Raw genomic sequence first — 19,678 nt, 5'->3', positions numbered from 1 at the left:
GTGAGGTTTTTATAAGCTATTGTATGTTTTTTCAAGAGTGGGAGGAGACGACCTTTGAGAAGTTGAGGATTTTCTCCCAAATTCCTTTGTAGCCTGTAACAGACTGAATTGTGTTCCCTTAAAATTCACATATAAAGCCCTAATGCCCAGTGTGATCTAGCAGAGGAACTGAGTCAGCCAGCCCTTGATCTTGGACTTCCCAGGCTCCAGAACTATAAGAAATAAGTCTGCTGTTTGAGTCACCTCCCCTAGGGCACATTTCGGCAGCCAGAGCTGACTCCGGTGTGGCTCTGGCCCTTGTTAACTGTGTGAGCTTAGGCGAGGTCCTCAGCCTCTCTAGACTCTTCCGTTTTCTCATCTATAACTTAAGGACAACAAGGTTGAGGACCTGTCTTCATGTGTTGTTTTGTAGATCATGTGCAAGAAGTAAGCGAAGTGGTGAGAACTGGGTGGGGGAGACACAGCCCTCGACACAGGGAGAGCACCCCGTGCGGGAGGAGCCTTCAGTACAAGAGACTTGGTCTGCCATCAAGTGGCTCTCTGCACTGTTGACAATTGTCAGTCATTTAAGACAGAGGAGGCCGGGCATGGTGACTCATGCCTGTTATCCCAGCATTTTGGGAGGCCAAAGCAAGTGGATCACTTCAGGCCTGCAGTTCGAGACCACCTGGGACAACATGGTGAGTCTCCCTCTATACAAAAATACAAAAATTAGCCAGGCATAGTGGTGCACACCTGTAGTCCCAGCTACTAGGGCGGCTGAGGTGGAAGGATCACCTGAGCCCGGGAGGTCAAGGCTGCAGTGAGCCATGGTCACACCACTGTACTCCAGCCTGGGCAACAGAGTGAGACCCTGTCTCAAAAAAAAAAAAAAAAAAAAGAGAAGAATAAAGGAAAGCCAGAAATATCAGCCAGTGTTTTCAGCTTCACTCTCACAAATCTCTGTGCAGACATCGTGGTGACAGAGGTCAAGTCCATCTCTGTTCAGCTGGGGCAGAGGAGCAGGTGTGCGCTCACCTCCTCTCACTGCTACTTTTATGTAGATTCCTCAGCTAACCCAGTAAGCCCTGGAGGCCACCTCCATGAATAGTTGGGTATTTAAAGACCTTTTACTACCAAATAAAGACAAAAACAGCGAGTAACAGTGAGCTTTATTTTCATGTCACCGCTCTAGGTTCATTCACCTGTTGCCAACAACATGAGGGAGTTTCTCCACAGCCCTTGATTCCTGAATTGTTCAACAAATCAACAGTCACCAATACATTGACTTAAGGAGTAAACAAGCAGCTTTTCTCTACACACCACCGGGCACCCCAGGAAGGCGCAGCTCCCTGCTCCACGACCGCCTCTTGGTGCCTGTATCCAGCAGAAGGACCCAGCAGGAGGCTGAATCCAAGCACTGCTCTCAGGCCACTCTATCCTCATCCCTGGATCCTCCAGGGAACAAGATAAAAAAAAAAAAATCCTGTTTTCCTGCTTTCCAAAATGGAGGGCCTTAACATCAACCAAAGTTACAAAACAAAAACAAAACACAGGAGCTAGCTGGGCGCGGTGGCTCACACCCGTGGTCCCAACATTTTGGGAGACCAAGGTGGGAGGAATGCTTGAGTTGTAGGAGTTCAAACCAGCCTGGCAAATATGGCAAGACCCCATCTCTCTAAAAAGTAAACAAAAATCAGCCGAGCATCATATCACATGCCTGTAGTCCCAGCTACTCTGGAGGCTGAGATGAAGACTGCTTGAGCCAGGGAGGGCAAGGCTGCCGTGAGCCAAGATCACACCACCACACCCTAGCCAGGGAGACAGAGCAAGACTCTCTCTCAAAACAAACAACCAAAAAAAAAAAAAAAACCCACATCATCTGCAAAGCTATGTTGGGAGCACAGCCATTTCCCATAGGCTTTCTTTTTCCTTGCCCCATTGCCTTCCGGGAAGTTTTCCCCTTACCCATCATCACGATTTTTCCCATCTTTCACGATGGTGCAATTCAACAGGATGAATTAACTGAACTAGAAAAGGATAAAAAAAATCTAACCCTATGAAAACTCTGCCTTCAACATAACTCCAGGGAGACGAATATTATACTACTGGCACCTCTGACCCACACTATCCTCTGTACCCCGTCCCTGCCCACATCCTCCTTTCTGGACACTTAGACGTCAGGTTCCCCAAGCGGCAAGGTTCCGTGAGGAGCACCACCAGCTCCTTAGGAGAACTGGCACTGCTCTGGCTCCTCTGACAACTGGGGCTGGCACTGCGGGCACCACCAGGTGAGCCTCTGTAACCCATCTTCGGGCCCAAACGCCTCCTTCATGACCTGGTGGCCAGCAGGGCACTGTTCTTTCTGGTAGACCTGTGTGTGCTGCGGTCTGCCTTGGAACTTGCCCTGCAGCCAGGCTGTACTGAACTCCACCACGTGATCCACCAGGACCTCCCGACGCGAGGCACTCAGGACTGAACCGAGAGAAAGGGGATGGATCCCAGCTCTGTACAAGGCTTCATTCTTAATGATGTTCCCTGAAATAAAGCGGGGGAAGGTAAGGGAAGGACAAAGGACACATGGCATGATGAAACCACCCACAAAGTTAACAAGGCAGAAATCAGCTCTTCCATGTCCTGGGGGACCCTAGACGGGTCTGCGATCTCTGACTCCATTTCTCTGTCTGTAAAATGGAGTTGACAATTCCTACCTTTAAGGTTGCTGTGAAGATGAAATGAAACTCATGCATGGCCCGTCATGGCAAACAGGCTATCAAAAACGGATCGGGCATCTGACTGCCTGCACTTGAATCGCAGCTCAAGCAGATCCTACCCACGTGACCCTGACAAGCTCCTCAGCCTCAATTAGCTGCAGTTTCCTTATCTGTAAGGCAGGGATGGCTTACCTGGTTTTTGTGAGCATTAAATGAGAATTCACCAAAAGACGCTGAGCACAGTGGCTGGTATGTAGAGTACTCAATAAGTATTAACTGTTGTTATTATTTAAAATGTTGGCCTGGCGCATTCCTGTAATCCCAGCACTTTAGGAGGCAGAGGCGGGTGAATCACTTGAGGCCAGGAGTTCAAGATCAGCCTGGACAACATGGTGAAACCCCATCTCTACCAAAAATACAAAAATTAGCCAGGCATGGTGGCACCTGCCTGTAATCGCAGCTACTCAGGTGGCTGAGGTAGGAGACTAGCTTAAACCTGGGAGGTGGGGCTTGCAGTAATCTGAGATTGTGCCACTGCACTCCAGCCTGGGCAACATGGCAAGACCCTGTCTCAAAAAAAATTTTTTTTTAAATTAAAAACAAAATGTCAAGCATAGCTAGGCACAGTGGCACACGCCTGTAATCCCAGCACTTTGGGAGGCAGAGGCAGGAGGATCATTTAAGCCCACAAGTTCAAGACCAGCCTGGGCAACACAGTGAGAGCTTCTTGTCTCTACAAAAATTTTAAAAATTAGTGAGGCGTGATGTCATGCACCTGTAGTCTCACCTACTCAGGAGGCTAAGGTGGGAGGATCGCTTGAGCCACAGAGGTTGAGGCTGCAGTGGGTTGTGATTGTGCCACTGCACTCTGGCCTGGGTGACAGAGAGAGACCCTGTGTCAAAAAATAAAATAAATGAAATACCAAGCATAATGCTTGTTATGTAGAAAGTGTTTCGGGAGCTGTTATCTTATTATTTTTCTACTCCTGCCTCATTCTCTGTGAAGCCAGCCTCGATCCCTCCTTCCAGAATCAGTAACTCTCTTGGGAATGTTCCAACCATACTCTTTCAGCTCCACCAGGCATTCATTGCAATCTTTAGTAACCCACAGTGGACTGAGTCCATGCTTGCTGGGCCATTATACAATGATCTCCTTAAGGAGAGGTGGTGAGCGTGACAGAGCTCAAGTGAGTGTCTGTGTGTTTGGAGTGAGTGGGTGAAGGAAATTCCTGCTGTTTCCAAGAGCCTCATAGTCACACTCCTCATTACACACATCAGTCTCTCCAGAATTCATTGACAAAACACCTGGATTCACATCTCAGCTGCACCATTTACTAGCGATGTGTTCTCTGCTTCAGTTTCCTCATCTGAAGGAAGGGAAAAGCACTATAACCATCCTACAGGACAGCAGTAAGGACAAGAACATGTGCCTGGCACATCAGAGCTGCTTGGAAAACACTGGCCGTTATTAATTACTACTGTTACTGTTAGCTCTTGCCATATATACCCAAAAAGCCACTTCCGACGGCTCTTCGCTCCTGAGTGCACAGGGACTCCCATGGTCCTAACATGAAAATGCAAGGCAAGTGCCTGCTGTACCACCTGGCCTCCTCCGACCCTCGTGAAGGGTGGTGAGCAGGCAGCAAGGCCACATGTTGGATATGGAGATGACTCTGTCACCACCAACCTGCCTGATTGCTTCAGCAACCAATTTTGGGCACAATTATTCCCCTACTGTGAGTAATAAGAACGCCACGCTGTCATAGTCCCGCTAATTAGCTGTTATATGTATTTTTGAAATTGTTCAGCACTTCTCCCTATCCTGAAATGCTCACAGTTTCACTGCTCACGCCACTGCAATAGAGAGAGGGAAACAGCTTCTTCACTCGCGTCGCATAAGAACCCAGTGTAGACTGAGTCATCTCTGTGCCCTGGCCAGGGCAGGAAGCTCCATCCACCCAAGAGCAGCATCCCTTAGAACACGCGCTCACTGCTCTGTTAGCAGCCTGCACGACTTCAGTTCCTACAGACACAGGTCAGGCACCTCCTACGTGCAGGCGCTGCACTGTGCAGTGGAGGGTACAGAGGTGCCGGAGACATGACCCCACCCTTTAGGAGGTGATGCTCCAACGCTGCTGGCAGAGGGCTCACAACTGATAACACAGTTAGGGTGTGGATTCTGAAGCAGAGAGACAAGTTAAAAACTGCCTGATCTAATGCCCTCAGTCTAAAAACAAGGGAAGTAAAAGAAAGGAGATTGAGCAAGTGGCACCTCAAAACCAACAGCACTGGCACAACTAGGGTGGCCCTCAGGTCTTCTGACTCCCACAGGACCGACTTTTCCATGAAGCAACTCTGTGGACTCACCCCTTTCCCATGAGTCATACCTAGCCCTGAGAAGTATCTCTGGTCCAGCAGTGTATAGCAGACAGGCTGAGCCTGGCCTAGAGCTTCTAAGGCTTGTCCTCGATGGAACTTCTCAGACAGGATGTCACAGGTGGGTGTGACCACTGGGGAAGAGCTCCAAGACAACTGACAATTATAAAATGCCAGGAAGCCACCACCACCAAAGTGCAGGACCAACCTGGGAAGAAAGAACAGGTCATATGTACACATCGTTACCACAGTATAGTCAGAGCACACCCTGTGGCTGGGTCATACACACATACACACATCCCCACATCGTTACCACAACATAGAGCACACTCTGTGGCTGGATCATACACACATACAGACATCCCCACATCGTTACCACAGTATAGTCAGAGCACACTCTGTGGCTGGATCATGCACACATACACACATCCCCACATCATTACCACAACATAGTCAGAGGACACTCTGTGGCTGGATCATACACACATACACACATCCCCACATCGTTACCACAACATAGAGCACACTCTGTGGCTGGATCATACACACATACACACATCCCCACATCGTTACAATATAGTCCAAGCACACTCTGTGGCTGGATCATACACACATACACACATCCCCACATCGTTACCACAACGTAGTCAGAGCACACTCTGTGGCTGGATCATACACACATACAGACATCCCTGACTTACAATGGTTCACTTTTAATTTTTGATTTTATAATGGTACAAAATCAATGCACACTCAGTAAAAGCCATACTTTGAGTACCTATAAAACCTTCATTTTCAGTACAGCATTCAATAAATTACGTGAGATATTCAACATTTTATAGAACAAGCTTTGTGTTAGATGATTTTGCCCAACTGTAGGCTAATGTAATTGTTCTGAGCACATATAAGGTAGGTTAGGCTAAGCCCAGATGTTTGGTAGGCTAGGCATATTAAATGCTTTTTTGACTTATAATGTGTTTTTTTTGAGATGGAGTTTCATTCTTGTCACCCAAGCGGGAGTGCAGTGGCACTATCTTGGCTCACTGCAATCTCTTCCTCCCAGGTTCAAGCGATTCTCCTGCCTCAGCCTCCCGAGTAGCTGGGATTACAGGTGCATACCACCACACCTGGCTAACTTTTTGTACTTTTAGTAGAGATGGGGGTTTCATCATGTTGGCCAGGCTGGTCTCGAACTCCTGACGTCAGGTGATCCACCTGCCTCGGCCTCGTAAAGTGCTGGGATTACAGGTGTGAGCCACCACACCCAACCTAATATTTTCAATACTCCATATACCCTTTCCATATAGAAAGGATATATAAAGCTAATTTTATTTATTTATTTATTTGGAAATAGGGTCTTGCTCTGTTGCCCAGGCTGGAGTATAGTGGCACAATCACAGCTCACTGCAGTCTCAACCTCCCTGGCTCAAACTACCCTCCCACTTCAGCCTCCCAAGTAACTGGGACTACAGGTATGCACCCCCACACCCGGTTAATTTTATTTTATTTTTTTGTACAAACAGGGTCTTCACTATGTTGCCCAGGCTAGTCTCTTACTCCTGGGCTCAAGTGATCCTCCTGTCTCAGCCTCCCAAAGTGCTGGGATTACAGACAGGAGTCAGTATTATACCTGGCAAGCTAATAGTATTTATTTCAAAGACCAACAAAGTAGATAAACTCAGGCCAGCCTATTAAAGAAAAAAGAGACAAAGCAAAGTAAACATAAAACAGGTACATGAGAAAAGAGACCTAACCAGGTAAAAAGAGATTTAAAAATAATGGCATGATACACATTCACTCTACGGCACTATATCTGAAAACCTAGGGGTGAGCCTCCTTCGGGGAGCACATTTCAATGCCTCCAGCTGGTGACTAATCCAGGACTCAGCAAAGGGCAGGCTCCTGATGATGACAGGTTTGCTGGGGGTTCTAAGGAAAGTTTCCTCATCTGAACTTCTAAAAATGATCTGCTCTTCTTCTGGATTTTTTGGTGTGAATAAAATCCTGGAGCTGCAGTAGCCTCTTGCTGCTGGTCTAAGGAGAAAACCAATGCGTGGAAAGTGCAAAGCCAGGAGAATCACAAAAACAGGAAGCCAGAACCTTGGAACGGCAGCCCCAAAGCCCACCCTCCTTCTGAACTTCCAGTCATGTGAGCCCAAAATCTCCAGACCACAGAAGCTACTCCGAGTTATTTTTACAGCCCATAGCATCCTATGGTACCTACGTCAGGCCACACAAATAAAGACTACACTTCTAAACATTTTTACAAGTTATAAAACTTCAGAAAATAGAAGGCATGTGACTTTCTCTGGGGGCAGAAGGGGCCTTTTTTTAGCAAAAGGGGAAACCTACAAGCAACCAAGAAAAATACCCACCGTTGATGATATAAAAATTTAAAATCCCAAATGCCAAGAGACATCATAAGCACAATCAAAGGACAGAGGACAGACTTGAAACAATACTGGCAACACATGTCACAAAAACAAACAGACTTTCTGTGCAAAAGCTTCATTACATTGATAAGAAGTACACAAACGACCTAACATTCATGAGATTTCAGCTCAGCTAGCACTTTCCTAAGGCCAGAAAAATGTACAGCCCTAAGAATATGCATTCCCTCTGACCAGCAATTACTCCTCTGGGAATTGACACTGAGGACATATCCTAAACCTAGATAGAGTCTTATGCATAAAATGTTGATCTCAACATTCATAGATTATAAAAACTGGGGCCAAGCATGGTGGCTCACGCCTGTAATCCCAGCACTTTGGGAGGCGGAGGTAGGCGATCGCTTGAGGCCAGGAGTTCCAGACCAGCCAGCCTGTCCAACATGGTGAAACCCCGTCTCTATTAAAAATACAAAAGTTAGCCGGTGTGGTGGCACGCACCTGTAGTCCCAGCTCCTCCGAGGCTAAGGCAGGAGAATTGGTTGAACCTGGGAGGCAGAGGTTGCAGTGAGGCGAGATCGTGCCACTGCACTCCAGCCTGGGCCAACAGAGCAAGACTCCGTCTCAAAACAAAGCAAAAAAACTCATCAAGCTGAATACTTAAGATCTGCATTCTACTGAATGTTAATTATATCTCAATAAAAAATAAACACACAAACAATATACTTAAAATAAAACTGGGAAAATCTTCTCCCTAAATTCAAAGCACACTAGTCAGGAGTCAGGCAATAAAATGTTCTTCAGGGACAGTCCCCCCTCAAGTGCCACATTTGCTGGGAAAATTCTCCCCTTCTCCCAGCCACCTCTTGGTGCACAACCCTCTCCTGCATGCAGACCACAGTCTACTTCCTATCACAGGTAGATACAGAGGTGGCCTCTCTCCCCAAGACAGCAGGGCCCTGGGGGGCAGACTGGACGTCCTCAGTATGTCCCCACTGCTGAAGTCCCAAACCCCACCAAGCAGGGCCCTATGACTATCAGAGCCCACGAAAATCAGATGGCCACACCATTACCTCGGGGAAGGGTCCCTCCAGTCCCCCCTCTTGTTGGCTTTCTTGGCTCTGGAGAAATCGTTCACCCAAACGCTGCCAAACAAACCAAAGCTGACACGCAGCCACCTCCCAGCATCTCCTGCAGGGGCGTCTCTCTCCAAATACTCAGAATCATCCTCGCCCTGGGGGACGAGCTCTGCAGACCGTGAGGATCCATCAAGGGTCTTCTGCCCGCTGGGCTCCCCGACCTGCTTTGGGTCCGCAGCCCCTTCCTTCTGCACTTCTTTTTGTGGAGGCTCTGGTGTTGGGCTGCTGCCAGGGGGCCCCATTTCTTCATCTAGATCAAATCTAAGGAATAATTTCTTTCCATGGACCTAGAAAAAATGAACAGAGATCCAAGCCTTACAGACCCAGAGAGGGGAACTGGGGAATGCGGATATTTATCCTATTGCAAAGGTCTTCCTTCTCACCCCTCCTGGGGGGCCTTCCCAAATGAAGTCTTTGGACTCTGCCTTTTGCTCTTTTGCTCCAGTGGTGTGAGCAGTTCGCATGTGGTTTTCAAAGTGACTGGGAGCAAGGAGACTTAGTTGGCAGTGAAACACACCCATGCAAGATGGCAAGGCCACCCTGGAATACCTGAAGGGAATCGCTCCCAATTTTTTCATGCAGTAGCTAAGAAATGAACATAAGTTGTCATTCCTTCATTCCATTCGTAATACATTTTCTATGCCAGAAATAAGCGGTGCGTGGGAATGCACACATACAGAGCAGCTAAAGACAACACCCTGTGAAACTGGGTACCCCTCGCTACCCCCTCCACCAGCATATTGGACTTGATAAGGAAACTGTAATCAATAAAAATTAGATACTGAAACAAAAATTGATCAGTGAATCAGATCACCACTCTAAAAAGTATAAGGCAAAGGACCCACCTCATCTCACTGAAAATGATTTCAGTAGAAGAAAATAAATATAGAAAATGTGTGTTAAAGGATGTTCTGCTGTCTTTTTTTTTTTTTTTTTTTTTTCAGATGGAGTCTCGCCTAGACTGGAGTGTAGTGGCACCATCTTGGCTCACTGCAGCCTCCATCTCCTGGGTTCAAGTGATTCTCTTGCCTCAGCTTCCCAAGTAGCTGGGACTGTAGGTGCACACCACCACCCCCAGCTAATTTTTGTATATTTAGCAGAGACCACGTCTCACCACGTTAGCAAGGCTGGTCTCGAACTCCTGACCTCAAGCGATCTGCCCGTCTTGGCCTCCCAAAGTGTTGGGATTCCAGGCATGAGCCACCATGCCTGGGCCCTTGCTTTGACTTTATTTTCATATTGCACCTCCTGATATGCAATATGTAGGCCTAGATTCCAGGATGAGTCAGTTCTACACAGCCTGAAATTCAGGCAGTCTTTCAAGGAGTATAAACCAAAATATCTGGCATTAATACTGGAAATGCCTGTGTTACTTTCTTGACCACTACAGGTCCGTGCTTAAAGATCACTGTTCTGGTATGATCTTTAACTTGTTAATTAGTACACAAATTAATCTTGAAGTCCTCCACCCAAAAGAGCATTACCTTTCGAAATAATCCCAGAATAGCTTATCTGTAAATCTGAGCACAGATTGTTATCTGCCACATATTAGAAATGGTTTAACTGACCTACATAAAAAAAAAAAAAAAAAAAACTGAGCAAGGATTTAAGTGGGCATAATAGAATTTGCTGCAGAAAATATTTCTTGGTATAAACTCACCAATGTTGATATAATTCTGATGAAAATAACTGTCAAATGCCCATCATGAACAAAACATTTACTAGGTCAAAAATGTCTAGGTCAGGATGTCCTCATACCAACTATGGCAATTTCTGCTGTCCCTCTTTTGGGTTCCTGTGACACTGCAGCCACTTCAATTCACTAATCATTAATTAAGCTTATTCAATGTGCCTGGCAGTGTGCTAGGCTCCAAGGGCAAACAGATGAATAAGGCTCTGCAATGCTTTCAATGTGTTCCTCAAAAAGTATGTGTTGGAAACTTAATCCCCAATGGAACAGTGGTAAGAGATGGCAACTTTGAGATTAGGCCATAGAGCTCTGGCCTCCTGAATGGAATAATGCCAATTGCAAATGACACGGCAAGATGCCAATGCCATGCCCTTGGACTTTCCAGGCTCCAGAACTGTGAGCTAAATAGACTTACATTGCTTATAAATTATGCAGTCTCAAATATTCTGTAATAGCAGCAAAATTAGATTACAACAATCTCCAATCTTCCCTTATCTATAACATGGGTGAACTTTGAGGACTTTATACTAAGTGAAATAAGCCAGTCAAAAAAACTCCAAATACTGTATAATTCCACTGATATGAGGTATCTGGGGAAGTAAAATTCATCGAGACAGAAAGTAGAAAGGTGATTGCCAGGGGCTGCAGGGAGGGAGGAAAGGGGGAGTTAGCGTTCAACAGGTATGGAGTCTCAGCTTGGGGAGATAAAAAAGTTCAGGGAAACTGTTAGACAACGTGAATACACTTAACATGACTGAACTATATACTTTAAAATGGTTAAGACAGTAAAGTTTGTTATGTGTTTTTCATCACAATTTTAAAAATTTTTAAAAGGCGGTGGGGGTGGGAGGGGGACAACTGTGAAAACAGATACTACAAGAGCACAGAGAAAAGTGTGGCTAGGCCAGGCACAGTGGCTCATGCCTGTAATCCCTGCACTTTGGGAGGCTGAGACGAGAGGATTGCTTGAGCCCAGGAGATCGAGACCAGCCTGGGTAACAAAGTGAAACGCCCATCTGTACAAAAAAAAAAGAAAAGAAAAGTGTGGGTAGAAGCAGACGTAGCACACGGAAGAAGAGTCTACATGATGAGGGGAAGCTGGCCGTTACCTGGGCTGGGCTTCACAAGAAGAGTGGAGGGCAGAGGAGACAGGGTGTGCCCAGCTGAGGGGACATACCTGAAGGCAGAGGTGGAAACCCTACACTGGAACAGGGGCTCCTGGTCAGACACAGCAGCCAGGGCGTGCGCTGTTAGCACTACTCCCAACAAACCCGCTATAGGAACCAAAGAGCTCTCAACTCTCAGGACCAAGAGGAGGAGCAGACAGGAGATACAAAGTCCCCCCAGAAGATGAGGAACAGGCACAGGAAGGGTAACTGATGAGGGAGAGCAGAGACCCCTGCTGCAGCAGAGGGGAGCCCCAAGGAAGAGAGAACCCAGGGGACCTACCCATCGTGACCCCAGGTGACCTGGAGATGGGGAGGCCCCAGGTGCTGTGGCAAGAGGTTAAAAATGGAAGGATTGGTCCTCATACACTGCTGGTGGGATGATAAAATGGTGCAGCTGCCTTGGAAAACACTACAGAAGACACTAAAAAAGTTCAACATACTATATGGTCCAGCAATTCCACTCCTAGGAATACTCTCAAGAGAAATGGAAACATACGTCTACACCAATACTTGCATATGAATGCCCACAGCAGCATTATCCATAGAAGTCAAAGAGTTGAAACAATCCGAGTGTCCAACAACTGATGACTGGACATCACTGACCATAAAATGTGTGATATGGTTTGGCTGTGTCTCCACCCAAATCTCATCTTGAATTTTAGCTCCCATAATTCCCACGTGTTGTGGGGGGGACCCGGTGGGAGATAACTGAATCATGGGGATGGGTTTTTTCCCATGCTGTTCCCACAACAGTAAGTCTCACAAGATCTGATGGTTTTATAAAGGGCAGTTCCCCTGCACATGCTCTTTCTTGCCTGCTGCCATGTAAGACATGCCTTTGCTTCTCCTTTGCCTTCCACCATGATTATGAGGACTCCCCAGACATGTGGAATTGTGAGTCCACTAAACCTCTTCCCTTTATAAATTACCAAGTCTTGGTTATGTCTTTATCAGCAGCATGAGAACAGACTAATACTGTAAACTGGTATTGGGAGGGGGGCATTGCTGTAAAGACATCTAAAAATGCGGAAGCAACTTTGGAACTGGGTAACAGGCAGAGGTTGAAACAGTCTGGAGGGCTCAGAAGAAGACAGGAAAATGTGGGAAAGTTTGGAACTTCCTAGATACTTGTTGAATGGCTTTGATCAAAATGCTGATAGTGATATGGACAATAAGGTACAGGCTGAAGTGGTCTCAGATGGAGATGAGGAACTTGCTGGGAACTAGAGTAAAGGTGATTCTTGCTGTGCTAAGAGACTGGTGGCATTTTGCCCCTGCCCTAGAGATCTATGGAAATTTGAACTTGAGAGACATGATTATGGCATCTGGTGAAAGAAATTTCTAAGTGGCAAAGCATTCAAGAGGAAGCAGAGCACAGAAGTTTGAAAAATTTGCAGCCTGATGATGCAGTAGAAAAGAAAAACCCATTTTCTGGGGAGAAATTCAAGCTGGCTGCAGAAATTTGCATAAGTAACTAGGAGTCAAATGCTAACCACCAAGCCAATAAGGAAAATGTCTCCAGAGCATGTCAGAGACCTTCACAGCAGCCCCTCCCATCACAGGTCCAGACACCTAGAAGGAAAAAATGGTTTCCTGGGCCAGATCCAGGGCCCCCTCTGCTGTGTGCAGCCTAGGGACTTGGTGCCCTGTGTCCTAGCCCCTCCAGCCATGGCTAAAAAGCGCCAATGTACAACCCAGGCTGCTGCTTCAGAGGGTACAAGCCCCAAGCCTTGGCGGTTCACATGTGGTGTTGAGCCTGCAGGTGCACAGAAGTTAAGAATGGAGGTTTGGAAACCTCCACCTAGATTTCTGAGGATGTATAGAAACAACGGGATGTCCAGGCAGAGGTGTGCTGCAGGGGCAGAGCCCTCATTGAGAACCTCTGCTAGGGCAGTGCAGAAGGAAAAGACGGGGTTAGAGCCCCAAGGCAGAGTTCCCACTGGGGCACTGCCTAGTAGAGCTGTGAGAAGAGGGCCACTGTCCTCCAGACCCCAGAATGGTAGATCTACTGACAGCTTGCACCCTGCCCTGGAAAACACACAGACACTCAATGCCAGCCTGTGAAAGCAGCCAGGATGACGGACTGTACCCTACCAAAGCCACAGAGGCAGAGCTGCCCAAGGCCGTGGGAGTCTACCTCTTGCATCAGCGTGCCCTGGATGAGAGACATGGAGTCAAAGATCATTTTGGAGCTTTAAGATTTGACTGCCTCACTGGATTTCAGACTTGCATGGGGCCTGTAGCCCCTTCGTTTTGGCCAATTTCTCCCATTTGAAACAGGTGTATTTACCCAATGCCTGTACCCCCATTGTATCTAGGAAGTAACTAACTTGCTTTTGATTTTACAGGCTCATAGGTGGAAGCAACCTGCCTTGTCTCAGATGAGACTTTGGACTGTGGCCTATTAAATTAATGCTGAAATGAATTAAGACTTTTGGGGACTGTTGGGAAGGCATGATTGGTTTTGAAATGTGAGGACTTGTGCTTTGGAAGGGCCTGGGGGTGGAATAATATAACTCCCATGATTCCCATGTGTTATGGGACGGACCTGGTGGGAGGTACCCAGTGGGAGGTAATTGAATCATGGGGGCTGTTCTCGTGATAGTAAATAAGTCTCAAGAGATCTGATGGGTTTTTTGTTGTTGTTGTTTTTCAGATGGAGTCTCACTCTGTTGCTGAGGCTGGAGCGCAGGTGCGATCTCAGCTCACTGCAACCTCTGTCTCCTGGGTTCAAGCAATTCTCCTGCCTCAGCCTCCCAAGTAGCTGGGATTACAGGCGCCCACCACCATGCCCAGCTAATTTGTGCATCTTTAGTAGAGATGGGGTTTAACATGTTGGCCAGGCTGGTCTCAAACTCCTGACCTCAGGCGACCTGCCCACCTCTGCCTCCCAAAGTGCTGGGATTACAGGCATGAGCCACTGCACCTGGCCTGACGGTTTTATAAATGGTAATTCCCCTGCACAAGCTCTCTTGCCTTCCACCATGTAGGATGTGCCTTTGTTTCCCCTTCGCCTACTGCCATAATTGCGAGGCCTCCCCAGCCATGCAGAACTGTGAGTCCATTAAACCTCTTTCCTTCATAAATTACCCAGTCTTGGAAGGGGAGAGTAGAAGGAGCTTGGTTTCCAATGTTGCTCCTATACCACCCTGGACTGTTCCATTACTGGAGGAGGAGAAAACCATGAGCTAGAGTAGCCATTTTTCTGAGTCTGTTATGAGTAATCCAACACAACTCCTATATAGAAAATGGAGAGCTGACAAGAAAAGGATGTGCCAGACAAACAGATGGCACAGAGTGCAGCCAAGCTCCCTCCTGCCTCATCAACTCACCCTGCTCACTCCACCTCCATCGGCCCGCCTGTAACTGCTTCTCAAGCCTGAAATGCCCTTTCCTCCCTCTTCAGTCCACTGAAATCCTCCAGCCTTCAAGGCCCAACTCAAGTCCTACCTCCTGCACATCTTCTCCAGGCCACCGGGACCTCTTCCTGTCAGGGTCATTACCTGGGCCTTTATGATGTGCTCTGCCCTCCCCATTTAGCATAGCTTAATAGTGTGGCCTGTGTCGATACAAGCCGTATGTTCTCAATTCAGTTCTAAGTTCCTAGGGTCAGGGACCCGCCGACAGGGAGAAGCAGGGAAGGGCGCTCACTTCAAAGCACTGCCAGGCAGCCCCGAAGGTTCCCTGCAACCTTAGGTTCCCTGCAACATGGTTTTCTGCTTGGTTTACTGGGAAAGCAGCTCCCAGTCCCGTCTACGGGTTCCTTCACCGCACATCCATCTGCCCACCCATCCACTTGGGAAATATTCTCTTACAGCCAGCTCTGTGGCAGACACCCTGGTAAGTGCTGGGGATCCAGAGACAAGAGACAATTCTGCCCCTGCAAACCTCGAAGGACAGTGTGTACAAAGAGGCCACAGTCCTGGAGGCCATGGGACCCCGTGCTCTCACCTGTTCCTTGCCAGCCACCTGAGCTTGGGCTAAGTACTCCCTTCTCCGAGCCTCAGTCTCCAAAGGAATCAACTATGGGTACAGGGCTACAGGATCTCTTCCAGTTCTAACTAACAACGGTTTTAAAACCTCTGTGTGTGTGTGTTGCGGGGGTGGGGGGTGAGGGCAAGATGGAAGAAAGGGAACTAGTACTTATGGAGTACCCGTTATGTGCCAGGCATAAACTCTACTTAAAACAACAACTTTAAGAGGTCAATGGCTTATCTCCATTCTACAATAGAAGAAAGAGCTATGAGATGAACATGCTTAAGAGCACACGGCTAAGCAGCAGCAGAGCGCGTGAGCTCATCCACAGGCACCACCCGTGCTTCCTACGTGCCGGCACTCAGCTAAGTGCTGGGGGCACAATACTGGCGAGGAGCAGCCCCTGCCCTCTGCATCTGTCCTCTCCCCTCAACAAGCAGAACAACTCAGTAAAAAGGGAAGAACAGGAGGAAGTACATGATGTCCTGGAAGCACAGAGATGGAGTCTCCTTCCCACCTAAAGCAGACAGGGCAGGCTTCTCTGAGGATGCAATGGCCAAGTGGAAGCTGGAAGACCAGGAATTACCATTATAAATTGAGGGAACAGGGGCAGAGTTGGGAGAAAAAGGAAGAAGTGCTTGAGCAGGGGGCAGCAAGTGAAAACCACGGACAGAAACACTAAGAAGAGCCAAAGGCAGTTTCATCGATCAGAAGACAGGTTTGGGGCAGGATAAGAAGGCTAGAGAGGGAGGCAGTGGTGAGAAAACAGGGAGCTCCGTGAGCCCCTGGAAGGATGAGCTGGTTTGAACCTAGATCTGAAGGTTCTGCTCTTTTCTTTTCTTTTTTTTGAGACGGAGTCTCACTCTGTCACCCAGGCTGGAGTGCAGTAGCACAATCTCATCTCACTGCAATCTCGGCCTCCCGGGTTCAAGCAATTCTCCTGCCTCAGCTTCCCGAGCAGCTGGGATTACAGGCGCCCACCACCACACCCAGCCAATTTTTGCATTTTTAGTAGAGACGGGGTTTCATCATGTTAGCCAGGCTGGTCTTGAACTCCTGACCTAGTGATCCACCCGCCTCGGCCTCCCAAAGTGCTGGGATTACAGGTGCGAGCCACCGTGCCCAGCCGGTTCTGCTCTGTCCTTAATTCTCCACTGGCTCAGGGGAATAGAACACAGTTCCCAGCCAAAGGTGCCCATCAGCTGCGGCCGGAGAGAATAGGAGCACTCCAGACCCTCTGAATCGGGGTCTCCAGCTCATCCACACGTGTTCTTTACAGTTCTACAGTCCACAGCGATATCTACTTCTGGCTGAGACACGTGAGACTGAAAGAGGGAGCTGCATGGAGTCCGAGCTTGGTGGTTCCGGACTCAGGGAAGTGACACCCTGAGACATATGGGGATAGATCCTAGGGGAGGCGCAGGATGGGCGACAGAGCCAACCCTTCAGAGGAGTATTACCTCACCTGGGTGTCCTGGAGCCACAGAGACTGCAGGCTGGCGGGCTGTAGCTTCTTACTGCTGCCCCCTGTCTTGACCACCTGCTGACCCACAAAGGGGGAGACCAAATGGTGAAATTTCCTCACCAACGGCCCTTCTGGCATCCCTGTGGGCAGAAATGGGCAAAAGAGGCCACCGACTTAGCTCATTTATCTCTAGCATCTTTAACAGGTGCCAAGCATCCTCCATGCCGCCATTTTTGCTGCCAACTAACTTTAAGAGCAAGCATGGCCAAAAAGGGAGTGTGGCTGGGAGGCGGTCAGATCATAGAGAAGAGCAGCTGTGGCAGGGTGTGGGAAACGTAGCAGGAAAGGCAGCCCCTCTTACCTTTCTTCATGCAGCAAACACTTATTAAGCACCAACAGTGTGCTAGGCAGCACATCATGGGCACCATCCACTTTATTCCTGAGCGGCACCTGCCACACCAGGAGCTGGCCTTTGTTACTTTTTGCCTGGACTGTGAACCTCTAACACCTCCTGACTTTCTCTGTCCCCCTGCTCCCGCTCTCAAAAAACAGCCATTCTGACCCACTGCTGCCGACTTATTTCCCACTTTTGAAGGGACCAGATGCCGCCCTCCAGGACCGCCGACCACTAGCGTGGGGGAGGTGTGCATGAAACGACCAACACGCAGACAGAGCTCAGAATCATAAGTGAGACCCCCAGCCACGTAGGTAAGCCCGGCATAGCTACAGACAGTTATCTCTGATCCCCGAGAAACAGCTGTGGTTCTGTTCTAATCACCACGCAGGGCTCCCAGGGCCACCTCTACTCTCCCTGCCCCCAAATCATCCCAGTCCACTGACAGCCGCCTACATGAGGCAGTCTGAGTGGTGTACACCCGGGCTGTTCGGGCAGAGGAGACTCCCAGCCTCACCCGGGGCAGCTGCCTAACCACCTGTTCCTGCACCAGCCTCTCTATAAGTTATGATGAAAATCGAAAAGAACTAAGTAGATATCGGGCAGGGGGTAGCTATTATATTTCAGTGATTCTAAAAAACATTTTAGAATACTTTTAAAATCTAAGAAATGGTGACGGCTCACAATCTCGGCATTCTCATATTCGGCAGCAGCACATTCAATAACGCGCATCTTACACTCGCTGGTGCCGATTCGCTGAGATGTACTATTTCCCCTCATCAGGCTTTCCAGACACTCCCCAGGGAATCCTGACAAAACCGCCAGGCTGGAAGGAGACGTGCCAAACGCTGCTGACCTTAACCAGTTGGATGCCTGATCCTCTTCTACGGGGAAGCTTCTGGAAAAGCCTTCATCTGAAATGCACCAAGTCCTGAAAATCTCCGGACACGTGGGCATGTTTCGTTTAGGGATTTTTATGGAGATGGACAGGTGGGAAGCAAGCCGCCTCTGCAACAGCCTTGAAAGATGAGACGCGGAAGGGACTTCGAAGAGTCGCTGAAGATGCCGCGCCCACCCTCCGGCCCTCCCTGCCCGGGGGCTACCGAGGAGCTCGAGGCTGGCGCTGCGCCAGCCAGGGAAGAGGAGGGGTTGTCTCCGCCGTTCTCTTCCGAGTGCCCGAGGTGGGGGGTCTAAGACCACTGCTTTCCCAACTCTGCCTCGGGGTGCGGGGAGAGGGGCGCAGACGCGGGTCTGAGGGTCAGTGGGGGCCTCCAGGCGTGGGCAGCACCTCCGCAGGCGGCTGAGACGGAGGAGGGCCCGGGGCCCGCCCTCCCTTCCTGTCCCCTCCCGACTTCTCCGCCAGGCCGCAGATCTACCGGAGGGCGGGCGGCTGCACTCACCGGCTCCGGGTGGGTGGCACGTCGGCCCGACCCAGCACCGCTACGCAGCCCGCACAGCCGCTCCAGCTGGGGGCGGAGATTTCCCGGCTCGGCGGCCCATGCGGCCTCCGTCCCCTTAGGGGACGCCCCTGTAGGTGGAGGCTGCGGGGCTCCTCCCCCAAGTGGGCGTGGACTCCGGCCTGGAGGGGGTGGCGGGGTGCGCGCAGGCGCAGGGCTCATTCCCTGGAAAGTGGGTCTAGGTCGAGGCTGCTCTTTTGTGGGTGGGCGAGGGGTTCCATCCCGGGGGTCGCTGGAGGCAGGGCTGCATTAGAGGGTCGCGAGTGAAAGCAGGGATGGAAGAAGGGTGCAGGCTGGGACTAACATTGGAGAGACGCTCTTGGAAACTTTTTTTTTTTGCGGGGGGAGATAGTCTCGCTGTGTCACCCAGGCTGGAGTGCAGTGGCGCGATCTCGGCTCACTGCAACCTCCGCCTCCTGGGCTTAAGCCATTCTCCTGCCTCAGCCTCCCGAGTAGCTGGGATTACTGGCGCCCGGCTAATTTTTGTATTTTTAGTAGAGACCGGGTTTCACCATGTTGGCCAGGCTGGTCTTGAACTCCTGATCTCAGGTGAGCCGCCCTCCTCGGCCTCCCAAAGTGGTGGGATTACAGGCGTGAGCCACCGCACCCGGCCCTTTTGGAACATTTCTTGTCTCAAGGAGACAGTTATAGGGAAAAGTCAATGGGTGTGTGAATGGGACAGCCTGGGTGTTCCCACAATGGCAAGCCTTTCTGTGGGTTCTGCTTGGCCTCCGAGCCTAATGAAGTCGGGTGCAAAGGAAACAGGTGTTCAAGACTCGTGAAATGTTGAACGGGTGGGATTTTTTTGCTTTCTATTATTTGAATTTTATTACTTGAATTTTTACTATAAGCAAATTTTGCTTAAAGTATTTGTGTATTAAATTTTTTATTTCATAGAATAAAAGAGATAAAACAATAGGCTGTTTAAAGATA

At 49.0% G+C, this 19,678-nt stretch overlaps 1 protein-coding gene and 2 long non-coding RNA genes across 13 annotated transcripts in view, besides 4 other annotated features; 2 read left to right on the top strand and 1 right to left on the bottom strand.

Annotated features, from left to right (window-relative positions):
• Positions 1-1,262, top strand: part of LOC105379243 (uncharacterized) — a 14,138-nt gene extending 12,876 nt beyond the window's left edge. The window contains exons 2-3 of the long non-coding RNA XR_948962.4: positions 413-680; positions 1,175-1,262. This is a non-coding gene — a long non-coding RNA (uncharacterized LOC105379243). The remainder of the gene's footprint in view (positions 1-412; positions 681-1,174) is intronic.
• NEIL2 (nei like DNA glycosylase 2) lies at positions 1,135-18,770 on the bottom strand. Of its 11 annotated transcripts, none has more exons than NR_146181.2 (6): positions 18,689-18,770; positions 18,145-18,306; positions 16,890-17,034; positions 7,958-8,882; positions 5,081-5,277; positions 1,135-2,517 (listed from the first exon to the last, which is right to left on the bottom strand). NR_146181.2 is itself a non-coding variant. In NM_001349442.2 (6 exons), the coding sequence occupies exons 3-6, from the start codon at positions 17,030-17,032 to the stop codon at positions 2,207-2,209; spliced, it is 999 nt and encodes a 332-aa protein (NP_001336371.1). In that variant the 5' UTR covers positions 17,033-17,034; positions 18,145-18,306; positions 18,689-18,770; the 3' UTR covers positions 1,135-2,206. The 11 variants fall into 11 exon arrangements, 8 of the variants coding, with proteins under 8 accessions (NP_001336371.1, NP_001336369.1, NP_659480.1 ...); NM_001349442.2 differs by having other exon boundaries at positions 8,530-8,882; positions 16,895-17,034; NR_146180.2 differs by lacking the exon at positions 18,145-18,306 and having other exon boundaries at positions 16,895-17,034.
• LOC124901888 (uncharacterized) lies at positions 17,030-19,678 on the top strand. Its single transcript, XR_007060824.1, has 2 exons — positions 17,030-17,602; positions 18,072-19,678. It is a non-coding gene; the product is annotated as an uncharacterized LOC124901888 (long non-coding RNA).
• Positions 18,120-18,620: an enhancer, noted in NCBI's record as "H3K27ac hESC enhancer chr8:11627369-11627869 (GRCh37/hg19 assembly coordinates)". NCBI's record gives its function as "activates a minimal SCP1, AML or CMV promoter by ChIP-STARR-seq in primed H9 embryonic stem cells {active_cell/tissue: H9 hESC(primed)}" and the evidence as "EXISTENCE:reporter gene assay evidence [ECO:0000049][PMID:30033119]".
• Positions 18,120-18,959: a biological region, named in NCBI's record as "H3K27ac hESC enhancer GRCh37_chr8:11627369-11627869".
• Positions 18,380-18,509: a silencer, noted in NCBI's record as "silent region_18938". NCBI's record gives its function as "represses an Ori minimal core promoter by ATAC-STARR-seq in GM12878 lymphoblastoid cells {active_cell/tissue: GM12878}" and the evidence as "EXISTENCE:reporter gene assay evidence [ECO:0000049][PMID:35858748]".
• Positions 18,550-18,959: a silencer, noted in NCBI's record as "silent region_18937". NCBI's record gives its function as "represses an Ori minimal core promoter by ATAC-STARR-seq in GM12878 lymphoblastoid cells {active_cell/tissue: GM12878}" and the evidence as "EXISTENCE:reporter gene assay evidence [ECO:0000049][PMID:35858748]".

The sequence above is a fragment of the Homo sapiens genome, chromosome 8, assembly GCF_000001405.40.
Source record: "Homo sapiens chromosome 8, GRCh38.p14 Primary Assembly".
NCBI lineage: Eukaryota > Metazoa > Chordata > Mammalia > Primates > Hominidae > Homo > Homo sapiens.
Note: the sequence above shows the minus strand (reverse complement) of the source record. Positions and strands in the feature narration are given on the sequence as shown.

Excerpts from the sequence above, each read along its gene's own strand:
- NEIL2 (NM_145043.4), bottom strand. The coding sequence starts at position 17,032 with ATGCCAGAAGGGCCGTTGGTGAGGAAATTTCACCATTTGGTCTCCCCC. Across the intron at positions 8,883-16,894 it reads TGTGGCTCCAGGACACCCAG|GTCCATGGAAAGAAATTATT; the intron begins GTGAGGTAATAC and ends CATTTTTTCTAG. Across the intron at positions 5,278-8,529 it reads TGGAGGGACCCTTCCCCGAG|GTTGGTCCTGCACTTTGGTG; the intron begins GTAATGGTGTGG and ends CTTTCTTCCCAG.